This window comes from Homo sapiens, chromosome 14 (genome assembly GCF_000001405.40).
Source record: "Homo sapiens chromosome 14, GRCh38.p14 Primary Assembly".
NCBI lineage: Eukaryota > Metazoa > Chordata > Mammalia > Primates > Hominidae > Homo > Homo sapiens.
In genome coordinates, this window is record NC_000014.9 from 63,900,284 (window position 1) to 63,921,380 (window position 21,097).

At 38.8% G+C, this 21,097-nt stretch overlaps 1 protein-coding gene across 29 annotated transcripts in view; it reads left to right on the forward strand.

Annotated features, from left to right (window-relative positions):
* Positions 1 to 21,097, forward strand: part of SYNE2 (spectrin repeat containing nuclear envelope protein 2) — a 464,854-nt gene that overhangs the window by 138,688 nt on the left and 305,069 nt on the right. For all 29 annotated transcript variants that reach the window (XM_047431152.1, XM_011536576.3, XM_047431149.1 and 26 more), the window contains one exon: positions 8,815 to 8,944. In XM_047431152.1, the coding sequence (XP_047287108.1) occupies positions 8,866 to 8,944 (79 nt within the window). In that variant the 5' untranslated portion in view covers positions 8,815 to 8,865. The remainder of the gene's footprint in view (positions 1 to 8,814; positions 8,945 to 21,097) is intronic.

A 21,097-nucleotide genomic window follows, 5' to 3' on the forward strand; every position in this document is an offset into this window, starting at 1 on the left:
GTTTTCACGCTGCTGATAAAGACATACTTGAGACTGGGAAGAAAAAGAGGTTTAATGAACTTAAACTTCCACATGGCTGGGGAGGCCTCACAATCATGATGGAAGGGAAGGAGGAGCAAGTCACGACTTACATGGATGGCAGCAGGCAAAAAGAGAGCTTGTGCAGGAAAACTCCCCCAATAGTAACCATCAGATCTCATGAGACTCATTCACAATCATGAGAACAGTGCAGGAAAGACCCACCGCCATAATTCAATCACCCCCCACTAGGTTCCTCCCATGACACGTGGGAATTGTGGGAGTTAAAATTCAGGATGAGATTTGGGTGGGGACACAGCCAGACCATATCATAGGATTGGTTGTTCTGGCATTTGTGTGGTGTCATTAGAAGAATAAAGTGCCCAGGAGGAGGGAATAGAGTGGATCTTACAAATCACCTGACCTGGAAATATGCACCAGTTGCTTCTAGTCAAATGATGATTACAGGATAAATAATAAGGGGAAAAGTTAATGGGAAAAAGATGAACAAATTTATTGCAGTGTTTCACCAACTTTCTGCTGTGAGCTTGTAAGTGGACTGTCAATTGCTAGGAATAGCTCTACAATTTAACTGATAAAGGAGAAGATCCTTCCACATTCCTAGGTGGACTATAAATAACAGAGTACAGCTGAAGAATGGAAAAAGAACAGGAGAGACACCCCAGGGAAAATGCTGGCTTTAAAATCACTCTGTTAAAGAAATAACGTGAATGCTACATCTGTTATGATATACCTTCTGGTCAACCTTTAAAGATAGGACAGATGCTTCTTCCTCACCATTGACAGAGTGGTTTTTCAGTTAGACTGGCAGGGCTTGTTAACAAACTGTCTACTAATGAGAAAACGGAAAGCTGTTGAGCTACCAAAAAGACTTTGGGAGTAGTTTTTAGAAATTTCTGACACACTCAGAGAATTTAAAAAATATTTCATTTTTGTCAAGAGAGTATTTTTCTCCTTGTTATGAAGACATAGATGTACAGGTTCTATTGAATATGGAATGAAGAACTGAACCTGAACTAATAATACCTTATTCTCATTTTGCTGTCATTTCATTAAAATAAAAGCCAAATTGTTATTTCAGTAGAAATATGCATCTGTCATTTAAAATTTTAAAAACGCAGATAAAAAGAAAATAAAAATCACCCATAATCCCTTTCATTTCGGATACTCTCTATTAAAATTTCATCTTTTAGTTGAAAAAAACCAGAGTAAATGCCAAGATTTCTTTAAAAAAGGGAAACTCACTAGTGTTTTGAGGTTTTAATTGACACCACAGGATTATTGCATAAGCAAACCACAGTCATTTCAAAATAGTTTGTCAGCTGGCTGCAATTGCTCACATCTGTAATCCCAGGACTTTGGGAGGTGAGGCAGGAGGATGGCTTCAGTTCAGGAGTTTGAGACCAGCATGGGGAATATAGGGAGACCCTGCCTCTACAGAAAATTTAAAAATTAGCCAAGCGTGGTGGCGTGTGCCTGTAGTTCTAGCTACTTGGGAGGACGAGGTGGGAGGATGACTTGAGCCCAGGGAAGTTGAGGTTTCAGTGAGCCATGATAGCACCACTGTACTCCAGCCTGGGTGACAGAATGAAAACTTGTCTTCAACAACAACAAACCAAACAAAACCAAAACCCCCAAATAGCTTATGTCATTGGTAAAAGCATGTATATTAATTTACATGTATTTTAAAAACAATCCCACATTATTCCACTTCATTTTAGAAGCTTTAATGCCACTACATTCTTCACCCAACCTTTGGTTATGTTTCTGAAGATTTTATTCACTTTTAAGAGTAGTTTCATTTAAGGTCAGGCGTGGTGGCTCATGCCTGTAATCCCAGCACTTTGGGTGGCTGAGGCGGGCTGATTATCTGAGGTCAGGAGTTCAAGACCAGCCTGGCCAACATGGCAAAACTCCATCTCTACTAAAAGTACAAAAATTAGCCGTGTGTGGTGGTACGTGCCTGTAATCCCAGCTACTAGGGAGGCTGAGGCACAAGAATCACTGGAACCCGGGAAGCAGAGGTTGCAGTGAGCCGAGATTGCACCACTGCACTCCAGCCTGGGTGACAGAACGAGACTCCTCAAAAAAAAAAAAAAAAAAAAAAAGAATAGTTTTATTTATTTTAGTACTAAACCCTGGCTTTGTTACATAATTGTGGTAACTTTTATTTGAAAAGAAAAAGTAAGGCCAGAAGGAGTACCCAGGAAAGCTCTTCTGGGCTGGAATTTACCTGGGCACAGCCGCTGTGTTCTCCTTAGAGGAGTCAAAACACAGTGATAGATTTCGGTTGCTAGAGACCCGGGAGACTCAATCTAGCCCTTAGCTAAATCTAGCCCTTAGCCCTCACTCCTCTTTCTTTCCTTTTTGTTTTTTTCTTTTTTTTTTGGAGACAAGGTCTTGCTTTGTCACCCAGGCTGGAGTGCAGCGGCATGAACACGACTCACTGCAGCCTTGACCTCCTGGCCTCAAGTGAGGTGGGAACCTCAGCCTCTGGAGTAGCTAGGACTACAGGTGTATGCCACTATGCCCAGCTAATTTTTTTGATTTTTTTGTTGAGATGAAGGCTGGTTTCGAAGTCCTGGTCTCAAGCAGTCCTCCTGCCTCTGGCTTCCTAAGTGCTGGGATTACAGGTATGAGCCACTGCACCTGGCCTTTGACTCTTTCTTCTGCCTTCCTTTTTCAAAGCCTTTCTAGCTTCTGAATTCAAATCCTGAGAAGTTCCTTGGAACTTTTCTTTTCTACTCTGTTCCAGTTTTTCATGGGTCCTATTTGGTAAGTAAATTCCTCCCTAGAAATGTCAGCAGTTTCTCACCAAAAACAATTGTGTTGGAAATGTCATCAATAAGTCTCTTCAATTATATCCTCATGGCCTCTGTAGCATGTTTTGACAAATAATTGTGCTATGACAGTATTTGGGTTAATAATCTAACACTTCGAATTGATTCAGTCTTCAAAGTTTGGTTTTACTTTTGATAGACATTTCTAGAAGCTCTAAGAAATTGTCAAGGAAGTAAAAAATTATGAATATATCTTTTGCCTTGTTTGATAATAAATTTTCATGGTTAAAAACAGAAACTTCTTAGACATCCAGCTATTTTAAGGTCTTAATTGGTTTTTTTTGGGTGCTATGTTATCTAATTTTTTTCTGACACCTTTGTTATTTATTTATTTTTATTTATTTACTTTTTAGAGGTAGTCTGTCTATGTTGCCCAGGCTTGCCTCAAACTTCTGGGTTTGAACAATCCTCCCACCTCAGACTCCTGGGTAGCTAGGACTATAGGCATGTGCCTGGTCTTTTCCTACATCTTTAATATACAATACAGTGAATTCCACATGCCGGTTGAGGACAGGAATACTTCTTGGTTCTCCAGTTAACAACTTGTCTTTATTGTTTTGTTTTTATTTTTAATGTAAATACAACAAATGATTCTTTCCCCTACATTTGATACCTTATATTTGATTAATATTCAATGAAATGGCCATTCTTTTTTTTTTTTAATTTCAGAGACATTCTATATATTTTTTTAAATTTCAACTTTTATTTTAGATACAGAGGGCACATGTGCAGGTTTGTAACATGGGTATATTGTAACCAGGTGGTGAGCATAGTACCCAATAGGTTGTTTTTCAACCCATGCTCCCTTCCCTCCCTTCACCCCTCTGGAAGTCTGCAGTGTCTTTTGTTCCCATGTTTATGTCTATGTGTTCTCAATGTTTAGCTCCCACTTTTAAGTGAAAACATATATTATTGGTTTTCTGTTCCTGTGTTAATTCGCTTAGGATTATGGCCTCCAGCTCCATCCATGTTGCTGCAAAGGCTATGATTTTATTCTTTTTTATGGCTTGTAGTATTCCATGGTGTGTATGCACTACCTTTTCTTTATCAAATCCACTGTTGATGGGAACCCAGGCTGAATCCATGTCTTTGTTATTGTGAGTAACCTGGCAATAAACTTATGAGTGCATGTGTCTTTTTGGTAGCATGATCTGTTTTCCTTTGGGTATATATGCAGTAATAGGATTGCTGGGTTGAATGTTAACTCTGTTTTAAGTTCTTTGAGACATCTGCAAACTGCTTTCCACAGTGGCTGCACTAATTTACTTTCCCACTGACAGTTTATAAGCGCTCTTTTCTCTGCAGCCTCACCAGCATCTGCTGTTTTTTGACTTTTAGTAGTAGCCATTCTGACTGGTGTGAGATGGTGTATCTTGGTGGTTTTGATTTGTATTTCTCTGATAATTAGTGATGATAAGCATTTTTTCATGTTAGTTGGCCACTTCTAAGTCTCCTTTTAAGAAGTGTCTATTCATGTCCTTTGCCCATTTTTTAATGGGGTTGTCTTTTGCTTGTTGATTTCTTTAAGATCCTTATAGATTCTGAATATTAGGCCTTTGTCAGTGCATAGTTTGCAAATGTTTTCTTCCATTCTGTAGGTTGTTTACTTTGTTGATAGTTTCTTTTGCTGCGCAGGAACTCTTTAATTAGATCCCATTTGTCAATTTTTGTTTTTTGTTGCTTTTGCTTTTGGAGACTTAGCCAAAAGTTCTTTGTCACGGCTTATGTTGAGAAGGGTATTTCCTAGGTTTTCTTCCAGGATTTTTATAGTTTGAGGTCTTACATTTAAATCTTTTATCTATGTTGAGTTAATTTTTGTTTATGGTGAAAGATAAGGAAGGATTCAGTTTCATTCTTCAGCATATGGCTATACAGTTATCCCAGCATCATTTATTGAATAGGGAGTCATTTCCCCATTGCTTACTTTTGTCAGTCTTGTTAATATCAGATGGTTGGAAATGTGCAGCTTTATTTCTGAGTTTTCTATTTTGTTCTATTGGTCTTTGTGTCTGTTTTTGTATCAGTACCATACTGTTTTGGTTACTGTAGCCATAGAGTATATTTTGAAATTGGGTAGTGTGATGGCTCTGGCTTTGTTCTTTTTTCTTAGGATTGCTTTGACTATTTGGGCTCTTTTTTGGTTTTATATGAATTTTAGAGTTGTTTTTTCTAATTCTGTGAAGAATGTTCATAGTTTGATAGCAATGGCATTGAATTTGTAAATTGCTTTGATAGTATGGTCATTTCAATGATATTGATGCTCCTAATCCATGGGCATGGAACGTTTTTCCCTTTATTTGTCTCATCTCTGATTTCTTTCAGCAGTGTTTTATAATTCTCCTTGAGATCTTTCACCTCTTTGGTTAGCTGTGTTCCTAGATATTTCATCATCTTTGTGGCTATTGTAAACGGGATTATGTTCTTGACTCTCAGCCTGGATGTTACTGGTGTATAGAAATGTTACTAATTTTTGTACATTGATTTTACATCCTGAAACCCTTCTAAAATCACATATCAGTTCTAGTAGCCTTTTGGCAGAGTCTTTAGGGTTTTCTAGGTATAGAATCATATCATCAGCAAAGAGAGATTGTTTGACCTCTTCTTTTCCTATTTGGATGCCTTTTATTTCTTTCTCTTGCCTGATTGCTCTGGCGGGGGCTTCCAGTGCTATGTTGAATAGGAGTGGTGAGAGTGGACATCCTTGTCTTGTTCTGACTCTCAGGGGGAATTGTTCCAGCTTTTGCCCGTTGAATATGATGTTGGCTGTGGGTTTTTTCATAGATGGCTCTTATTATTTTGAGGTATGTTCCTTCAATGCCTAGTCTGTTGAGGGTTTTTTTAAATCATAAAGGGAAATGTTGGATTATATAAAAAGTTTTTCTGTGTCTATTGAGATGACATATGGTTTTTGCTTTTAATTCTGTTTATGTGGTGAATCACATTTATTGATTTGCATATGTTAGAACCAACCTTGCATCCCAGGAATAAAGCCTAATTGATCGTGATGAATTAACTTTTTTATGTGCTGCTGGATTCAGTTTGCTAGTATTTTGTTGAGAATTTTTGCATCTATGTTCATCAGGGATATTGGCCTGAAGTTTTCTTTTTTAGTTGTGTCTTTGCCAAATTTTGGTATTAGGCTGATGCTGGCTTCATAGTATGAGTTAGGGAGGAGTCCCTCCTCCTTGATTTTTTGGAATTGTTTCAGTAGGATTTGTACCAGTTCCTCTTTACACTTCTGGTAGAATTCAGCTGTGAATCCATCTGGTCCAGAGCTTTTTTTGGTTGGTAGGTTTTAAAAAAAATTATTATTGGTTCAACTTCGGAGTTTGATATTGGTCTACTCAAGATTTCAATCTCTTCCCAATTCAATCTTGGGAAATTGTGTTTCCAGGAATTTATCCATTTCCTCTAGATTTTCTAAGTTGTGTGCATAGAGTTGTTGTAGTGGATCTTTTGTATTTCTGAGGGATCAGCTGTAATATCTTTGTCATTTCTGATTATACTGATTTGGATCTTCTCAGAGACATTCTTACCAAATTCAAGGTACTGTCCAAATAATGCTAATTCTAATAGGACTATTTTGCATGAAATGCTATTTTGTAAAAAGTACACTCTTGTCTTGTTGAGTTGCTATAACAAAATACCATAAAATGGGTAGTTTGTAAATGACAGAAATCTAATCCAAGATCAAGTCCAGAAGATTCAATGTCTGATGAGGGCCTGTTTCCTCATAGATGGCCATCCTCTCAGTCTATCCTCACATGGTAGAACGGGTAAGGAGTCTCTCTTGGGCCTCTTTTATAAGGGGACTAATCCCATTAATGAGGATCACCTCCCAAAGGCCCCACCTCCTAATACCGTGACATTGGGGATTAGATTTCAACATATGGACTTTGGGGGACGTAAGAACTCAGTCCACTGCAGCTCCTGACAGTCACATCCATCTCCAGCTTTAAGTGATGGGGCATGCAGTCTCCTTTGCTCTCAGAGTACCTTCTGTACTTATTAGAGGATTTTGCTTAATATTCTGTTCATTTATCATTCTCAGAGGATTGAATCTCTTGAGAGTGGCATCCAGCTTATATAATTATTTGTTGTGCAAATGAATGAAAACAAAAATAAATGACATATGGCAAACTCTCACTCACCTTAGGAGACACCATCATGTGTTGGTTTAGAGCATGAACTCTGAAGCCCAAACCACCTGGATTCAAGTCTTGGCTCCATCATTTATTACCTGTGTGTCCTTAGACAATTGTGAATCATACTGGTGCATCTAAGCTTTGTCTTTTCAAATGTGGAGATAACTGTAGTTCCTAACTCTTACCATTGTTATAAAGATTAAATGAGGTTGTATATACAAAGTGCTTGTAACAGTGCCTGTATACAGTAAGTACTGTATAATATTGCTATTATCCTTTTTTTTTTTAAATAGCGATGACATGGAATAGTGTGTGCCCTTAGAAAATTCATTCTGGAATTCAAATCTTAGGGTGCCAAAATGAAGAAGTGCTTTATCTCCACTTTGGGTTCAGGAGCCCCAGAGTATGGGAAGGGGTGGTGGAGGTCCTCAGTATATCGCAAAGCTGAGGATGTTTGTATCTTTGTCACTCATCAGGCTGCCAAGGCTCATGGTGAACTAATAAACAGCCTTTCTTTTTGGTTAGAATCTCTCAATTCCATATAGCAACTCTTTTACCTCAGGCTGGTTGTGATTCATCTTAATTTGGAGGATAAACAAATTAATCATTAATTAGTCAAGTTAATTTGGTAGCTGAAATCTTTAACAACAGTGATCCATGCAAGAGCTAATAAAAGGGATATGGATGATAAACAGAGGGGGCAGGCAGGATTGAAAGATTTTTGAACTAGCAGGGACTGTTTAATGATTCTTATTCTTTGTATTTTTTGAAGTGTTCTGTTTAATATTTAATATGATTGACCGTATCTAGCTGTTGGCCTCATACTTATCTTTTAGTTCCACGCCGCCCCCTCCCCCAGCATTTTATTATGCAAAATTTCTAGTATACAGCAAAGTTAAAGGAATTTAAAAGTGAATACCTATAGGGTCAACACATAGATTCTAACATTAATATTTTGCAATGCTTGCTTGATCACAAAGCTGTACAATTATCCATCCCTATGTACACCCCCAATCTACTTTATATTTTTATATGCTTGGTTAGGTTTATTATTTGATCATCCATATGGGAGAAGTCGGTGTTTTATACTTATCCTCCAGAAACTAATAGTGGTAAATAAATACATGAAGCAATGCTTTTAAAGAGGTATGAAGTAAAAACTGCTCTCACTGGAAGGATTCTTTAAGAATCAAGGTGGGGCGAGGGGAAGAAATGTGTAGGTGAAAAAATAAGCCTTTGGGAAAATAATTCAATATATTAGATAACTCATTAAAATATTCTTTTTGATATATTAGATTTTTAGTTTCACTTTGCAAGCTATGCAGGCTCAGCTCTTATTGTTTCCAGTAAATGGCAACATAACTGGGGCAGAAAAGGAACTAAGTTCAAAAAAAGTTTTAAAGAAAATCCTTGAAGGTTGAAGGCTAACAATCACATAACACTAATGCCTAAGATATCAGTTTGTGTCAACTTTCCTTCCTCTAGACAAGTTATTACATCGAATTGCCTGGCCTTCCTTTTCACCACTGGTATAGAATCCACAATGCTAGTTCTTCTGGAGTTCTGAAAGCAGCTCCAAAGGGCATGAATAAGTCATAGGGCAAAATCTTGATTATGATTCAAAAAGAAGGCATAGTTACTTTGTTCTTCATGAACCATGGAAGCACATAGTAGAAAGCCATACTTGTTTTGGAGGACAGTTTTTGGTTGCTGCTGTTTTCTGGCAATGCATGTTTACTAGAAACAGAGCTGCAAAGTTACTAATGAACATTTATCCATTTCACTTTCAGTTCACTTCTTCAACTGAGATGGACATGATATAATCTCCATTGAGTCAAAGAATGGCATCTAGTCCTGAGCTTCCCACCGAAGATGAACAGGGTTCCTGGGGCATCGACGATCTCCATATTTCATTGCAAGGTAATTAAGATTGGGTGGGGGTAACACCCACAGAAACTGGGGAAACCTTACTTTTATCTAGTTGCAAGTCACACTGATTTTCGTCTCTCTTATGGAGATAAATATATCTGTATTTTTCCAACTGTAGAAACCTTTTAATATATTTAAATGTCTTTATTTCTGCCTTAGCTCTCTGGGAAAGTAAGGAATACCTGCAAGGAATTTGCTATCTCCAGTTTCTTACTGAGTGTATGCATTTTATTTGCAGTGAAAATTAAATAGTAAACTGTAGTTTGCTTGGCATTGTTTTTACTTCTTATCTTTTTGTGTAGCTTCTTTTAAATGCACATCCTTGCCAGGCACGGTGGCTCATGCCTGTAATCCCAGCACTATGGGAGGCCGAGGCGGGCGGATCACCCAAGGTCAGGAGTTCGAGACCAGCCTGACCAACATGGGGAAACCCTGTCTCTACTAAAAATACAAAATTAGCCAGGTGTTGTGGCACATGTCTGTAATCCCAGCTACTTGGGAGGCTGAAGCAGGAGAATTGTTTGAACCCGGGAGGCGGAGGTTGCAGTGAGCTGAGATTGTGCCATTGCATTCCAGCCTGGGCAACAAGAGCGAAACTCCATCTCAAATAAATGAATGAATGAATGCACATCCTTATTTTGTCCTGATAGGAAGAGAGGTAATATTATAAATGAATGACCTTTCAGTCATGTGAATCATGTGTGCATGTATATAAGTGCTGTCATTTTTTTAAAAGTGCTTCTTGTGGAGTTTGGCAATATTTTTGTTGTATTTTGAAAATTCACTAGCCACTAGACCTTCTACCTTTGTTGATAAAGCAAATTTTGGAGTTGAGTAAAGTAAGCTAGTATAAAAGAAATAAGGCTATAGCAGGCCTTTGAAAATATTTATGGAACTATGTGTTTTAAAGTAACTTTAAGATTATGGGCAGTATTATGCAGCATTTTTAGAATGTTACTCAAAGTCATAGATTCTGAGTCATTTATGGTAAAGATGCCAAAATTACTTTTTTTCTGATATTTTCCTTTAAATTAAAGATCTGTTTTGATGCCATATTGAGTGATTTGGCAAAATAAAATCTGTTTTGAATGATTTGCTTCTATATTTTGAGCTGAGATGGAAATCAATAGCTGTTAGAATAGACAGTATCTGTATATATCAGCCTTTTCAAAGTAATTATTGTATACTTTGTGTAGAGTAAGAAACATTTAAATTGTTGAGAGGTTATACTTGAGGTAAGAATTTTTAAAATTTTCAGTAAGGACTTAAAAATAATGTCTGAATATTCAGATGTAGATGGAATCAAGCTTTCATTTAACTGGAAAAAAATTATTGTTTTTCTATGATGTTTTGGTTGCATGTAACGTTTTGGCTGCAATAAGTAGGTAAATCAGATTTGTAATGCTGGCTCTGCCAGTCACTGATTCTTTGAACTTGGAGGAGAGATTTCATCTTTTGAGTCTCAGTTTCCTTATTTGTAAAATGTGAATCAGAGTTCCCACACTGCAGCTGCATTTTGAAGATGAACAGTAAGGGAGACAAAGGGGCTTAGCACAGTGCCTAACACAGACTAGGGACTCAGTATGTACATCACACTTTCTTTTTCTAGGTTTATGGCCAAAATCTTACTCTCAAAGTATTTCTTGTCCAAGAGCACATGGCTGGAGTAGAAACTTCATGATCTATAGGAAAAAATTGTAAACCAGATGTCTGGTTTTTTTCTGCTTTTTCTTTTGTTTGTTTTGTTTTAACATTTCTGTTCAATGGCTCCCTATCACATGTGGGATGAAGTCCAGACTTCTTGGCGTGGTTCAGGCTTTTACTGGTCCAGTGCTTGCCTTTCTCTCTGCTCTTATCTCCCACCATGCCCCATAAGCACTCTGTGCTCCAACCCCATGGTTCCTTAAGGGGCCATATTCTCCCTGGTCCGCCAGCCTGTGTGCTTTCATTCAGATTGTTTCCCTTGTAGCTCCCCCGGCCCCTCCTCCAGCAGCAGAAGTCATCCTCTCATCCATCCTTCATACATCCTTTATCCATCCCCAGGACGATTAGAATCAGTTTCCTGTGAGCTCTGCTCTCTCTTAGGCTGAGATAACGTGCTCCCTCCTCTGTTCTCCCGTAGTATCTCTTTGAGCACTTGGTAGTATTATTATTATTATACATATCAAGTAATATTTTCTTCCCCACAGCAGGGGACATTTTGACTTTTATGTAGCATGCTGTAACTTATGTAGCACTTTTGCATACATTATCTCATTTGATCCTCACAACCACATGATGAAGTAGATTTAAAAAAAATCTTTGACAATTGAGAAAGAGGCTGCAGCTCAGAAAGAATGAATTACTTGCCCAGAGTCCCGCAGCTAGTGAGCAGTGGAGCTGTGTTTTGACTAGGACAGTTTTCTTTGTATTGTACCATACCCTCTTTGTTACACTTCAAAGAACAGTTTGAAAGAGGGAGTTTCCTTAACAACTTTCACTGGAAAATTCATTAAATCTTAGCCTTAACCTATTCAATCCATAGCAAGTTTTCACATCCAGAATATGGAGGGCATCTTTAAGTAATATTAGTGATCTCAGGCTTATAAGTAGCTCAAAATAATTAGCAAATTACTGAGAAATGAGTGGTTTCTTATAGCATGTTTTGAATTATCGTAGGTTATACAATCTGTTTTACAATTGGAGAGTAGTATGGACTGTTTTGCAATGTAAATGTGATATACGTGCACTGGTCAGTCTGAATGATTTCCTTTAATGATGTATTTAGAGGAATCGTGGTGCTGGACACACTGCTGTCTTAGGGGGACTGGTAGAAAGCCAATACTATAATGTCAAGGTGACGCTGGGCAGTCTGTTCACATTAGCCAGGTACCCTCAAGAGATACCAACCAAGAAGTTCCCATACCTATAAGATGAAGGCTTTACGGCGAAATGAATAGATTTCCCAAAGTTAAGCTCCATATTGTTATCAGTGAATTTGTAATGATTCTTTCAGCCTAAGTTGTTGAAGGAAAGAAGGAAAGGAGGGAGGAAGGAAGAAAAGAAGGCAGACACTTGTATATATTTCTAAAGGCACCTTTGCTTTCATAGCAGGATTATTAGCTATTTGAGAAAAAAAAAAGATGGACAATATTATCTGCATGAAGTACTACTGAACCAAAGGCTGTTGGTGGTAGTCTTAAAGGCACTTGGCATTGTACACACAGCAAGCAGACTCGTATTTCACAGAATTCACATGTGCTTAATGATCCCTGGGGTAATATGAGAAAGAGATTTCATGTAATATAAGAGGCTCAGGATCCCTGCTCATAAGAAAGTTTTTATTTTTCTTTGTTTCAGAACCTTTTTTTAGAGGCAGATAGAGACAGTAGAATGGCCTAATTAACTTATAAAGCCTGCTTTATTTTAGCAAAAACTTAATCTAAGGTGAGACAATTGTGGCAACACCCTGACTCAGAATAACACACGCAAGAAAAGATTAAAATGTCTCAGTTGAAATGTAGTGCTTCATCATTAATATGCTATGAAAGCATATAGCCCGTATGTACAGGGCCTAAAAGGAATCAGCCCTGAAGATCAGGCAGTGCTTTGCCGAAATTCATAGAGCAGGACGATAAGCAAGTGACTTTATCTTTCTTTTCATTGATTTTTTTGTGTGCTCTTTGAGAAAATATCTTTGTAAAGCCAATTTGAGGGTACCCTCCCTCTTTTTTTTGAGAGAGGGTCTTGCTCTGTCACCCAGGCTGGAGTGCAGTGGCATGAACACGACTCACTGCAGCCTCAAACTCCTGGGCTCAAGTGATCTTCCCACCTCGGCCTCCCAAGTAGCTGGTACTACAGGTGCACATCACTGCGCCTGGCTAACGTTTTTATTTTTTGTAGAGATGGGAGTCTTGCTATGATACCCAGGCTGGTTTTGAACTCCTGGACTCAAGTGATCCTCCTACCTCAGCCTCCCAAAGTGCTGGGATTACAGGCGTAAGCCACCATACCTGGCCCTGAGAGTACCCTTTATGGGTAGATATTTATGTTTTCTGCATTTAGTGAAGAGGATGGTGTTGGACTGTTTGAATGGTTAGGAAGAGAAAGGAATGGTATTTATGAATTTGAGTGGGTTTCTATAAAACTGGAATTCATTTTAGTTTAGTGCATTCTATATTACTCTGGGCAGTACACATTTTATTTATTCATATATATATGTATTTTTTTCTTTTTCTTTTTCTTTCTTTCTTTTTTTTTTTTCTGAGACAGAATCTTGCTCTGTCACCCGGGCTGGAGTGCAGTGGTGTGACCTCGGTTCACTGCAACCTCCGCCTCCAGAGTTCAAGTGATTCTCCTGCCTTAGCCTCCTGAGTGGCTGGGATTACAGGTGCCTGCCACCACGTCTGGCTAATTTTTGTATTTTTAGTAGAGAGGGGATTTCACCATGTTGGCCAGGTTGGTCTCTAACTCCTGACCTCAAGTGATTTGCCTGCCTTGGCTCCCAAAGTGCTGGGATTATAGGCGTGAGCCACAACACCTGGCCAGCAGTCCATATTTTAAATGATTTTGCGATATGGAAATTCAGGCTATTAAAATGATAATAAATGGCTGTTTAAAATTTTTTAAATTTAATTTAATTTTAAATTTTTAAAATTAAAAAAATATATACGGGGGAAGTCTTGCTATTTTGCCCAGGCTGGTCTTGAACTCCTGGCCTCGAGCTATCCTCCCACCTTTGCCTCCCAGAGTGCTGGGATTACAGGCATGAGCCACTGTGCCTGGCCATAAATGGCTTCTTTAAAAATTATTTGCTTTACCAAAATGCCCATTATAGAATTCCTTTAATTCTTTCCATTTGGATTTCTTCCTTGGCAAAGTAATAGGTGCTTCCTTTTATTTGATCCTAAAAAAATAATAACCACATACTTTGTCAGAAACAACATCTGTGCTGAGCCCTTCGGGTGGGAAAGGTGTGCCCAGGGAACACTTTTTTGAAGTATTGGATAGATATGATTATGAAAGCAGTAGGGGTAATGTTGGATAAGTATCACAGGACTTTAAAGTTAAATGGGATTTTCTTTGCAATTCAGTGTAATTTGAGACCAAAGTAGGAATCCCTTCCGAAGTATTTCTGAGATTAAGATCCTTCATGGAGTTGAATTGAAACCCAAGGGTTTGGGGTTTTTGCTTTTAGGCAGTGCCTACCTATTGTGTCTTAAGAGTGACAGTTACATGGTCACATGTCAGGGTTGTGCCTTAAGGGATTAATCTGGCTTTGAGGTACAGGAAGGCTGGAAAAGGGTGGAAAGTAGTTGGAGAAACCTATTAGGAAGTATTAGCAAATATCTGGGTGTTGGGTACTGTTTGCCTGGGCCTGGGTTATAGCAGTGAGTGTGAAAGTATGGACAGATAAGAAAATCTTTAAGGTGGGAGACACTAGGAATTTGCAACTGTAAATATGGGTAAGGTAGAAAGGCTCCAAGGTTTTGAAGTTGAGCTGCTTGGGAAAATAGTAGTAGCATATTTAATGCCCACATTACTAACTTTATTTAGTGTGTTTTGTTTTGTTTTGTTTTGAAACAGAAGTCTTGCTCAGTTGCCCAGGCTGGAGTGCAGTGGTGCGATCTTGGCCCACTGCAGCCTCCACCTCCTGGGTTCAAGCAGTTCTTGTGTCTTAGCCACCTGAGTAGCTGGGATTACAGGCATGTGCCACCACGCCAAGCTATTTTTTACATTTTTAGTAGAGATGGGGTTTTGCCATGTTGCCCAGGCTTGTCTCAAAACTCCTGGGCTCCATAGATCCTCCCACCTTGGCCTTCCAAAGTGCTGGGATTACTGGCATGAGCCACTGTGCCTGGCCTATTTAGTGTGTTTTTATGAGGCAAGATAGCATCAAATATGAAGGCCATTAAATATTATTTATATCAATGTGCTTAAAATAAATTTTTATAGATAAAAGGTACTTTACAAAGAAACTCTTGAGAACTTCTCAGGTATAGAAAGATTAAAAGCATGATGCAGGTGGAGGATCTATTTGAAAGTCATAGTAACAAGCGAAATTGGCTGTGTAGGTGGACTCATCTTGAGAAATTTTAAATGGCAACTGTAGGCAATTTTGAACTGTTTTGGATACTTTATTTTAGATTTAAGTTATTTTTTAACAAGTAAGTATAACTTGTTGGTCATAAAGGACATATGAATTTCTGTAACAGGAGCAATTTACTTGGCTTTCAAAAACAACATAGGCCAATGCTCTAGAAAAACAGCATCCAGATACAGAATATTATCATTAATTAGGCACTGAACTAGGAATGAGTGTGGATTCTATTACCTTTGCCACCACACAGGAGTTAACTTGCAAGCAGTCCTACCAAGATGCTGATGAATGCTTAACCATCTGCACGAACCTCTATAAAATCATTCAGCCCAGTTACTGTGTCATTTCAAACAAGGCTCATATGTTTTATTTAATGCTGTTATTGTCTAGATGACATATTTTAAAAGATTAAAAAACCCTCTGTGTCTTCTCGGTAGGTATCCTTACTTCGTAGGGTTCAGTAGTGAAACGTGAGTCTCTGTAGTTAGGTTATTACTCCATTTAAATTTATTTATTATATACTGAGTATCCATCTGAAGGGAGGCTTTCAGTTTTTGTATTATTTTTAGAAGCATTAAAAATTATCCAAGCTTAGTGGGTTAGGTTACAAACATCGTAATGGAGATGCAATGTTTAATTTTATTCATTTACTCTGTAAATGGTGAACCCCAATCATGCACAGTGGTCTAGGTGTTAGGAGTACAAAGAAATAAATTGGGCACCTTCAAGAAGCATGTAGTCTAGATGTGCTTTTGCTTGTTGATGTCATGTGGAAGTGAAAAAATAGCCTGGGCCGCAAATATAATCATTCTTAGGAGATGAGTTGAAGTCTTTAACTTTAAAGGGTTATGTTTCTAATTGTGGTATCCATTGTACAAATTCAACCAAAATATGACCAAAAATGTTGTCTGGAATATCTTTTTATGTTTCATTTTTATGGAGGTGAAGAATAAAAAACGTACTGTATATAGCATTATTTGCAATGTGAGTTATAAATTCCTCTCACTGTAAAAATGAAACAGTTTGGTCAGAACTTCACTGGAGATTGTTGTCTTCTTACTGTTCTTACTCTTGAATTTCTTCTCATCTTTGGATATCACTTCCTGCAATAATCTTTCGGAGTTCCTCGAAGTATGTTGTAGGTACATATGATATTCCTGAGTTGTTATTGCCAATCAAGTTTCTGAATATTTTAGGTTTTCAATAAACAATTTTATTATGAGTGAGTGGCCATTTTCTATATTAAAAAAAGTTCTATGAAGTACCCCAAATTAGAAGAACTTTTGAATGTTCATGAAAATTGTCAGATAGGATGGAAACATGATTTCTTTAGGCTTCAGGCAGTGAAGTGTGTCTATGATGTTTAGGGGCTCAATAGTGCTTTCGTATTCTGTTTATGAGAGAAGACTCTGTTCTACCTTATAACTGTGAGTGAATGAAGCCATGTGAAGTCTTAGGAAGAGGAACACTATTAATAAAAGCTTCTCGGCTGGTGCAGTGGCTCACACCTGTAATCCCAGCACTTTGGGAGGCTGAAATGGGAGTACTGCTTGAGCCCAGGAGTTTGAGACCAGCCTGGGCAATGTAGTGAGACCCCTCTGGCTCCACAAAAAATAAAAAAAAAATTAGCTGGGCATGGCAACATTCCCCTGTACGTCCAGCTGCTTGGGAGGCTGAGGTGGGAGGACCTCTTGAGCCCAAGAGTTGAGCCTGCAGTAAGCTATGATCGTACCACTGTGCTCTAGGCTGGATGACAGAGTGAGACCCTGTCTTTAAAATAAATAATTAATTAATTTTTTAATAAAGGCTTCTGGGTGGAATTTCTACCCTTTTGTAGTAAAGTCCCCAGTGTGGGATTTTGAGGTTAATGATTAATGAAGAGTAAGAAAAGACATGTATTAGCAGGTAATATTTTTGCTTCTCTAACCAATTCAGATTACTCAGTTATGATAAATAAAAGCAAATTATCTTTGGCTGGTTAGATGCTTATTACACCAGAGAAAGCAATCAAGCTATAGTCCCTCACTGGCTATCAGTGTTTTACTATAACAATACAAAAGCTTCTAGAAAGTTCCTGTGATAGTAACTGATATTGTCTTTTGCTGTGTTTTCTTGGAAGTTTGTTTGCTTTGATATTAAGCTTTATAATCTTTTTATTTATTTATTTTTTTTGAGACGGAATTTCACTCTTATTGCCCAGGCTGGAGTGCAATGGCACAATCTTGGCTCACTGCAACCTCTGCCTCCCAGGTTCAAGTGATTCTCCTGCCTCAGACTCCCGAGTAGTTGGGATTACAGGCATGAGCCACCATACCCAGCTAATTTTGTATTTTTAGTAGAGACGGGGTTTCTCCATGTTGGTCAGGCTGGTCTCTAACCCCCAACCTCAGGTGATCTGCCTGCCTTGGCCTCCCAAAGTGCTGGGATTACAGGCATGAGTCACCGCACCTGGCCTCAAGCTTTATAATCTTAAAAATATTCTAATTAAATGAAAAATAAAATAAGAGCTTTTGTGGTATTTGCACTGCAAAGTGTTTTTCAAATTTTTTTTTTTTTTAGCTTTTATATACAGTTTTGGCTTCTGGGAACTTTGGTTCTGTTTTTGCCAGGAATTTGGGGATAAGCTTACTTTATTCTGGGTCAGTTACATTTTGAAAACTAGGGCAAGATAAATCCAGGGTCATTTAGAGTCTTGTTAAAGTGGGTTAACAAAGATCTCATTCATTCCTTATAGAAATAAAAATCCTTTTTAATTAGCCCCATGAGATACAAGATTTTCTGAGCTTTTCTGTATCCATGTATGTCGGGTGGGGGTGTAATTATTCAGAGCTTGAAGTAGTACATTAGAAAAACAAAACTTAAAATAACATCACCTTTAAGATAGAAAAACTAAGAAGTTAATATAGTATGTTAAATTGTAACCATTTGCTGGATTTAGTGTATGGTTTAACACTCTGAATTGGAGGTCATTCTAAATGTGCCTGTTCAAAACATTATTTCCCTTATCTAATTTCAACATTGGTGATTATAGTTTCCTGGAGTAACTCCCATTTTTCTAAATAATTCAGGGAATTTTGGTAAAAGGTAACTGCATTTCTGTTTCTCAATATGTATGAGAGCCACAGTTTACTACCACCAGGTATTTTTATAATCATTTAAAAGTGGCGGATAAAAGGATATGAATGATTTATCAGAGATGGAATGTCTGAAGTTCTGAATATGTGTCTCTTTGGGAGAGAGACGTCAGATGCCGGATGAATAATTTACTGTCGTTGAAGGTCTGTGCGGTGATGCATGTTGGGCGAGCATGGGAGGGAAAAGGCAGAAAGAGTAGCCACGCGCTTTTGCTGCTGTCTTGTCGGGTGGAGCAGCATTCACTGGTCGGGCACTGGATTTTTCCATCTTTACTGCACAGGGGATTTCATCAGTGGTGTTGTGTTTTCCATCTTTACTGCACAATTTCATCAGTGGTGTCGTGTTATAAGGTAAAGGGCACCTGGCTCAAAGGTGGAGCACAAAGAGCCCTTCTCAAATTTGAGAAACACTTAATATCTTTCCAAAACATTGGAATCGTTTGCCTTTTCTTCAGTTAAATAGGATTTTTCATAGTGGGAACTAGGTTTGCTGTATATCTCCGTCTGCCTCCATCTGAATGCTTTGTCGGCAAACTTCCAGGGGGTTTTGATGTCTTCAAAATAGCATATTTCAAAAGTCCAGGTGAATTCACATTTCCCACTTCATCACATAATTATAATTTTTATGAGCACAGGTAAAACTGCTCTCTGATTCATTCATGCAGCAAATGTTTCCTGTGACCCTACCTTGTATCAGGCACTATTTTGGGTAAGAGAATATTGAGGTAAATAACTTCAATAAGCTTCATGTGCCCATGGTGCTTATATTTAAGCCAGACTAGATTATAATCAAGAAGTACATCAGCGTATGGTAAAGGCTGTGCAGAAGATTTAAGTGAGTTTATATCATAGAGCTTGGGTGACTTCTTTAGATCAGAGAAGGCCTCTTTGAGAAGGGACAGTTTAGGAGCGATCGAATAACAAGGAACTGCCTGCAAAGTGCAGCATGGAAGCGGGTCCAATCTGAGGTAGCAGGGCAAAGAAAAGCTCTAGGATAGAAGCAAGGTTGTTGAATTCATGGAGCCAAAGAAGTCTAGTGTGGCTGGATTGTGGTGGGCAAGGGGTGGCCTGACCTGGTGGTGGACTGAATGAGATCACCTTTGGAGCGTGTAGCAAGAGCAGACCTTTGGGTCTTTCCGTGTTTAGAGGTCAAGTGGAAGAGGAGGAACAAGGAAAGGACACTGAGAAGGAGTAGCCAGTGACAAGGAAGGAAAAGCAGGTGAACGCAATGGCATGGAAACCCCTAGATGAACGTGTTTCAGGAAGGTGGTATGGTAAAGCATAATAAATGCCACACAGCAGTCAAGTAAGGTCAGTACAGAGAGGAGCCCACTGGATTGCGCTCCTAAGATTTGTTGTGATGGCTCTGACAAGCTTAGCCACTGTCAAGAGGTGGAAATGGAAGCCTGACTCTGCATTGAGGAGAGAATAGGAGAACGAGGAAGTGGAGAGAGTCACTTGATTTATACTTTCAAGAAACTTTGCTGTAAAACAGAGATATCAGGCACATGATAAAAGGTAAGTTTTTTTTTTTTTTTTTTTAAGGTAAGAGGTACTATTTCATTTCTTGTTACGCTTTTCTTAGGTATAGGTCGGTTTACTCTGAAAGCCCCATTCATTTATTTGTTCATTCATTATTCAACAAATATTTTTGAACACTTACTGTGTATAAGGACTGTGCTGAGCACACGGGTTAGTACATGGCACATCCTCTTCTAAAATGTATCCTCTGATTACAGAGATACACACAAGCGCGTAAACTATCACAGTATCATGGGGTATGTGCTCCAAGTGAGGCAAGACTTGGTACTACGGAAGTATGGAGTGGGAGTACCTAACCCAGACCTGAGGAAGGCTCCCCAGAGAAAATGATTCCTAAGCTGTTACCTAAAAGATGGTAGCACATGAGCAGTGTGAAGATGAGAAGATGCTGCGGGCAGGAGAGGCCAGAAGATGAGCTGAATGTGGTACATTCAACGAAATGGATGTTCAGTGAGACTGAGGATTTAAAGGAGAATTAAAATTTGAAGGAGAATGTGAAGAGATGAGGGGTCATATAAACATATAGGGGTCTGGAATTTTTCCTAAGACCAAGCAGAAGCAATGGAGAGATTGTGAGCAGTCACAAAACTTGTTTTAGAAATTCCCCCAGGCTTCAGTGTGGCGTCTAGTCTTTAAGGGAGTGAGGGTGGAGGCAGAAAGACCAGCATAAGTCTGTTAGGGTGGTCCACCCGAGAAAGAATGGTGTCCTGATGTAGAGGTGGCCGTGGAGATGGAGAGAAATAGGTGTTCAAGAGATATCATCTAATTGGTATCAGGGCTTTTTGATTGACTTGGTATGGGAGAAGGAGAGGGAAGGATGTATCAAAGATGATAGGTTTTGGCCGGGTATGGTGGCTCATGCCTGTAATTCCAGCACTTTGGGAGGCAGAGGCGGGTGGATCACTTGAGGCCAGGAGTTCGAGACCAGCCTGGCCAACATGGCAAAACCCTGTCTCTACTAAAAAATACAAAAATTAGCTGGGCGTGTTGGCATGCACCTGTAATCTCAGCTACTCTGGAGGCCGAGACAGGAGAATAGCTTGAACCTGGGAGGTGGAAGCTGCAGTGAGCTGAGATCATGCCATTGCATACCAGCCTGGGGGACAGAGCGAGACTCTGTCTCAAAAATAAATAAATAGAAAAAATGATAGATTTATTCTTGGGCAAATCAGTAGATGATAGAACCATTTACTGAAAAAAAAAAAGTGCAGGAGAACAACTTTGGTTGGGAAGGGAGTTGGTTAGACATGATGACTCAGTTCTGGAAATGTTGAGTTCGAGATGTCTATGGAATAACCACATGGAAATATCCAGACAACAATGGGATATATAGGAGAGATGACAACTGGGCTGAAGGTAAATACTTGGGAGTCCTTAGTGTGTAAATGG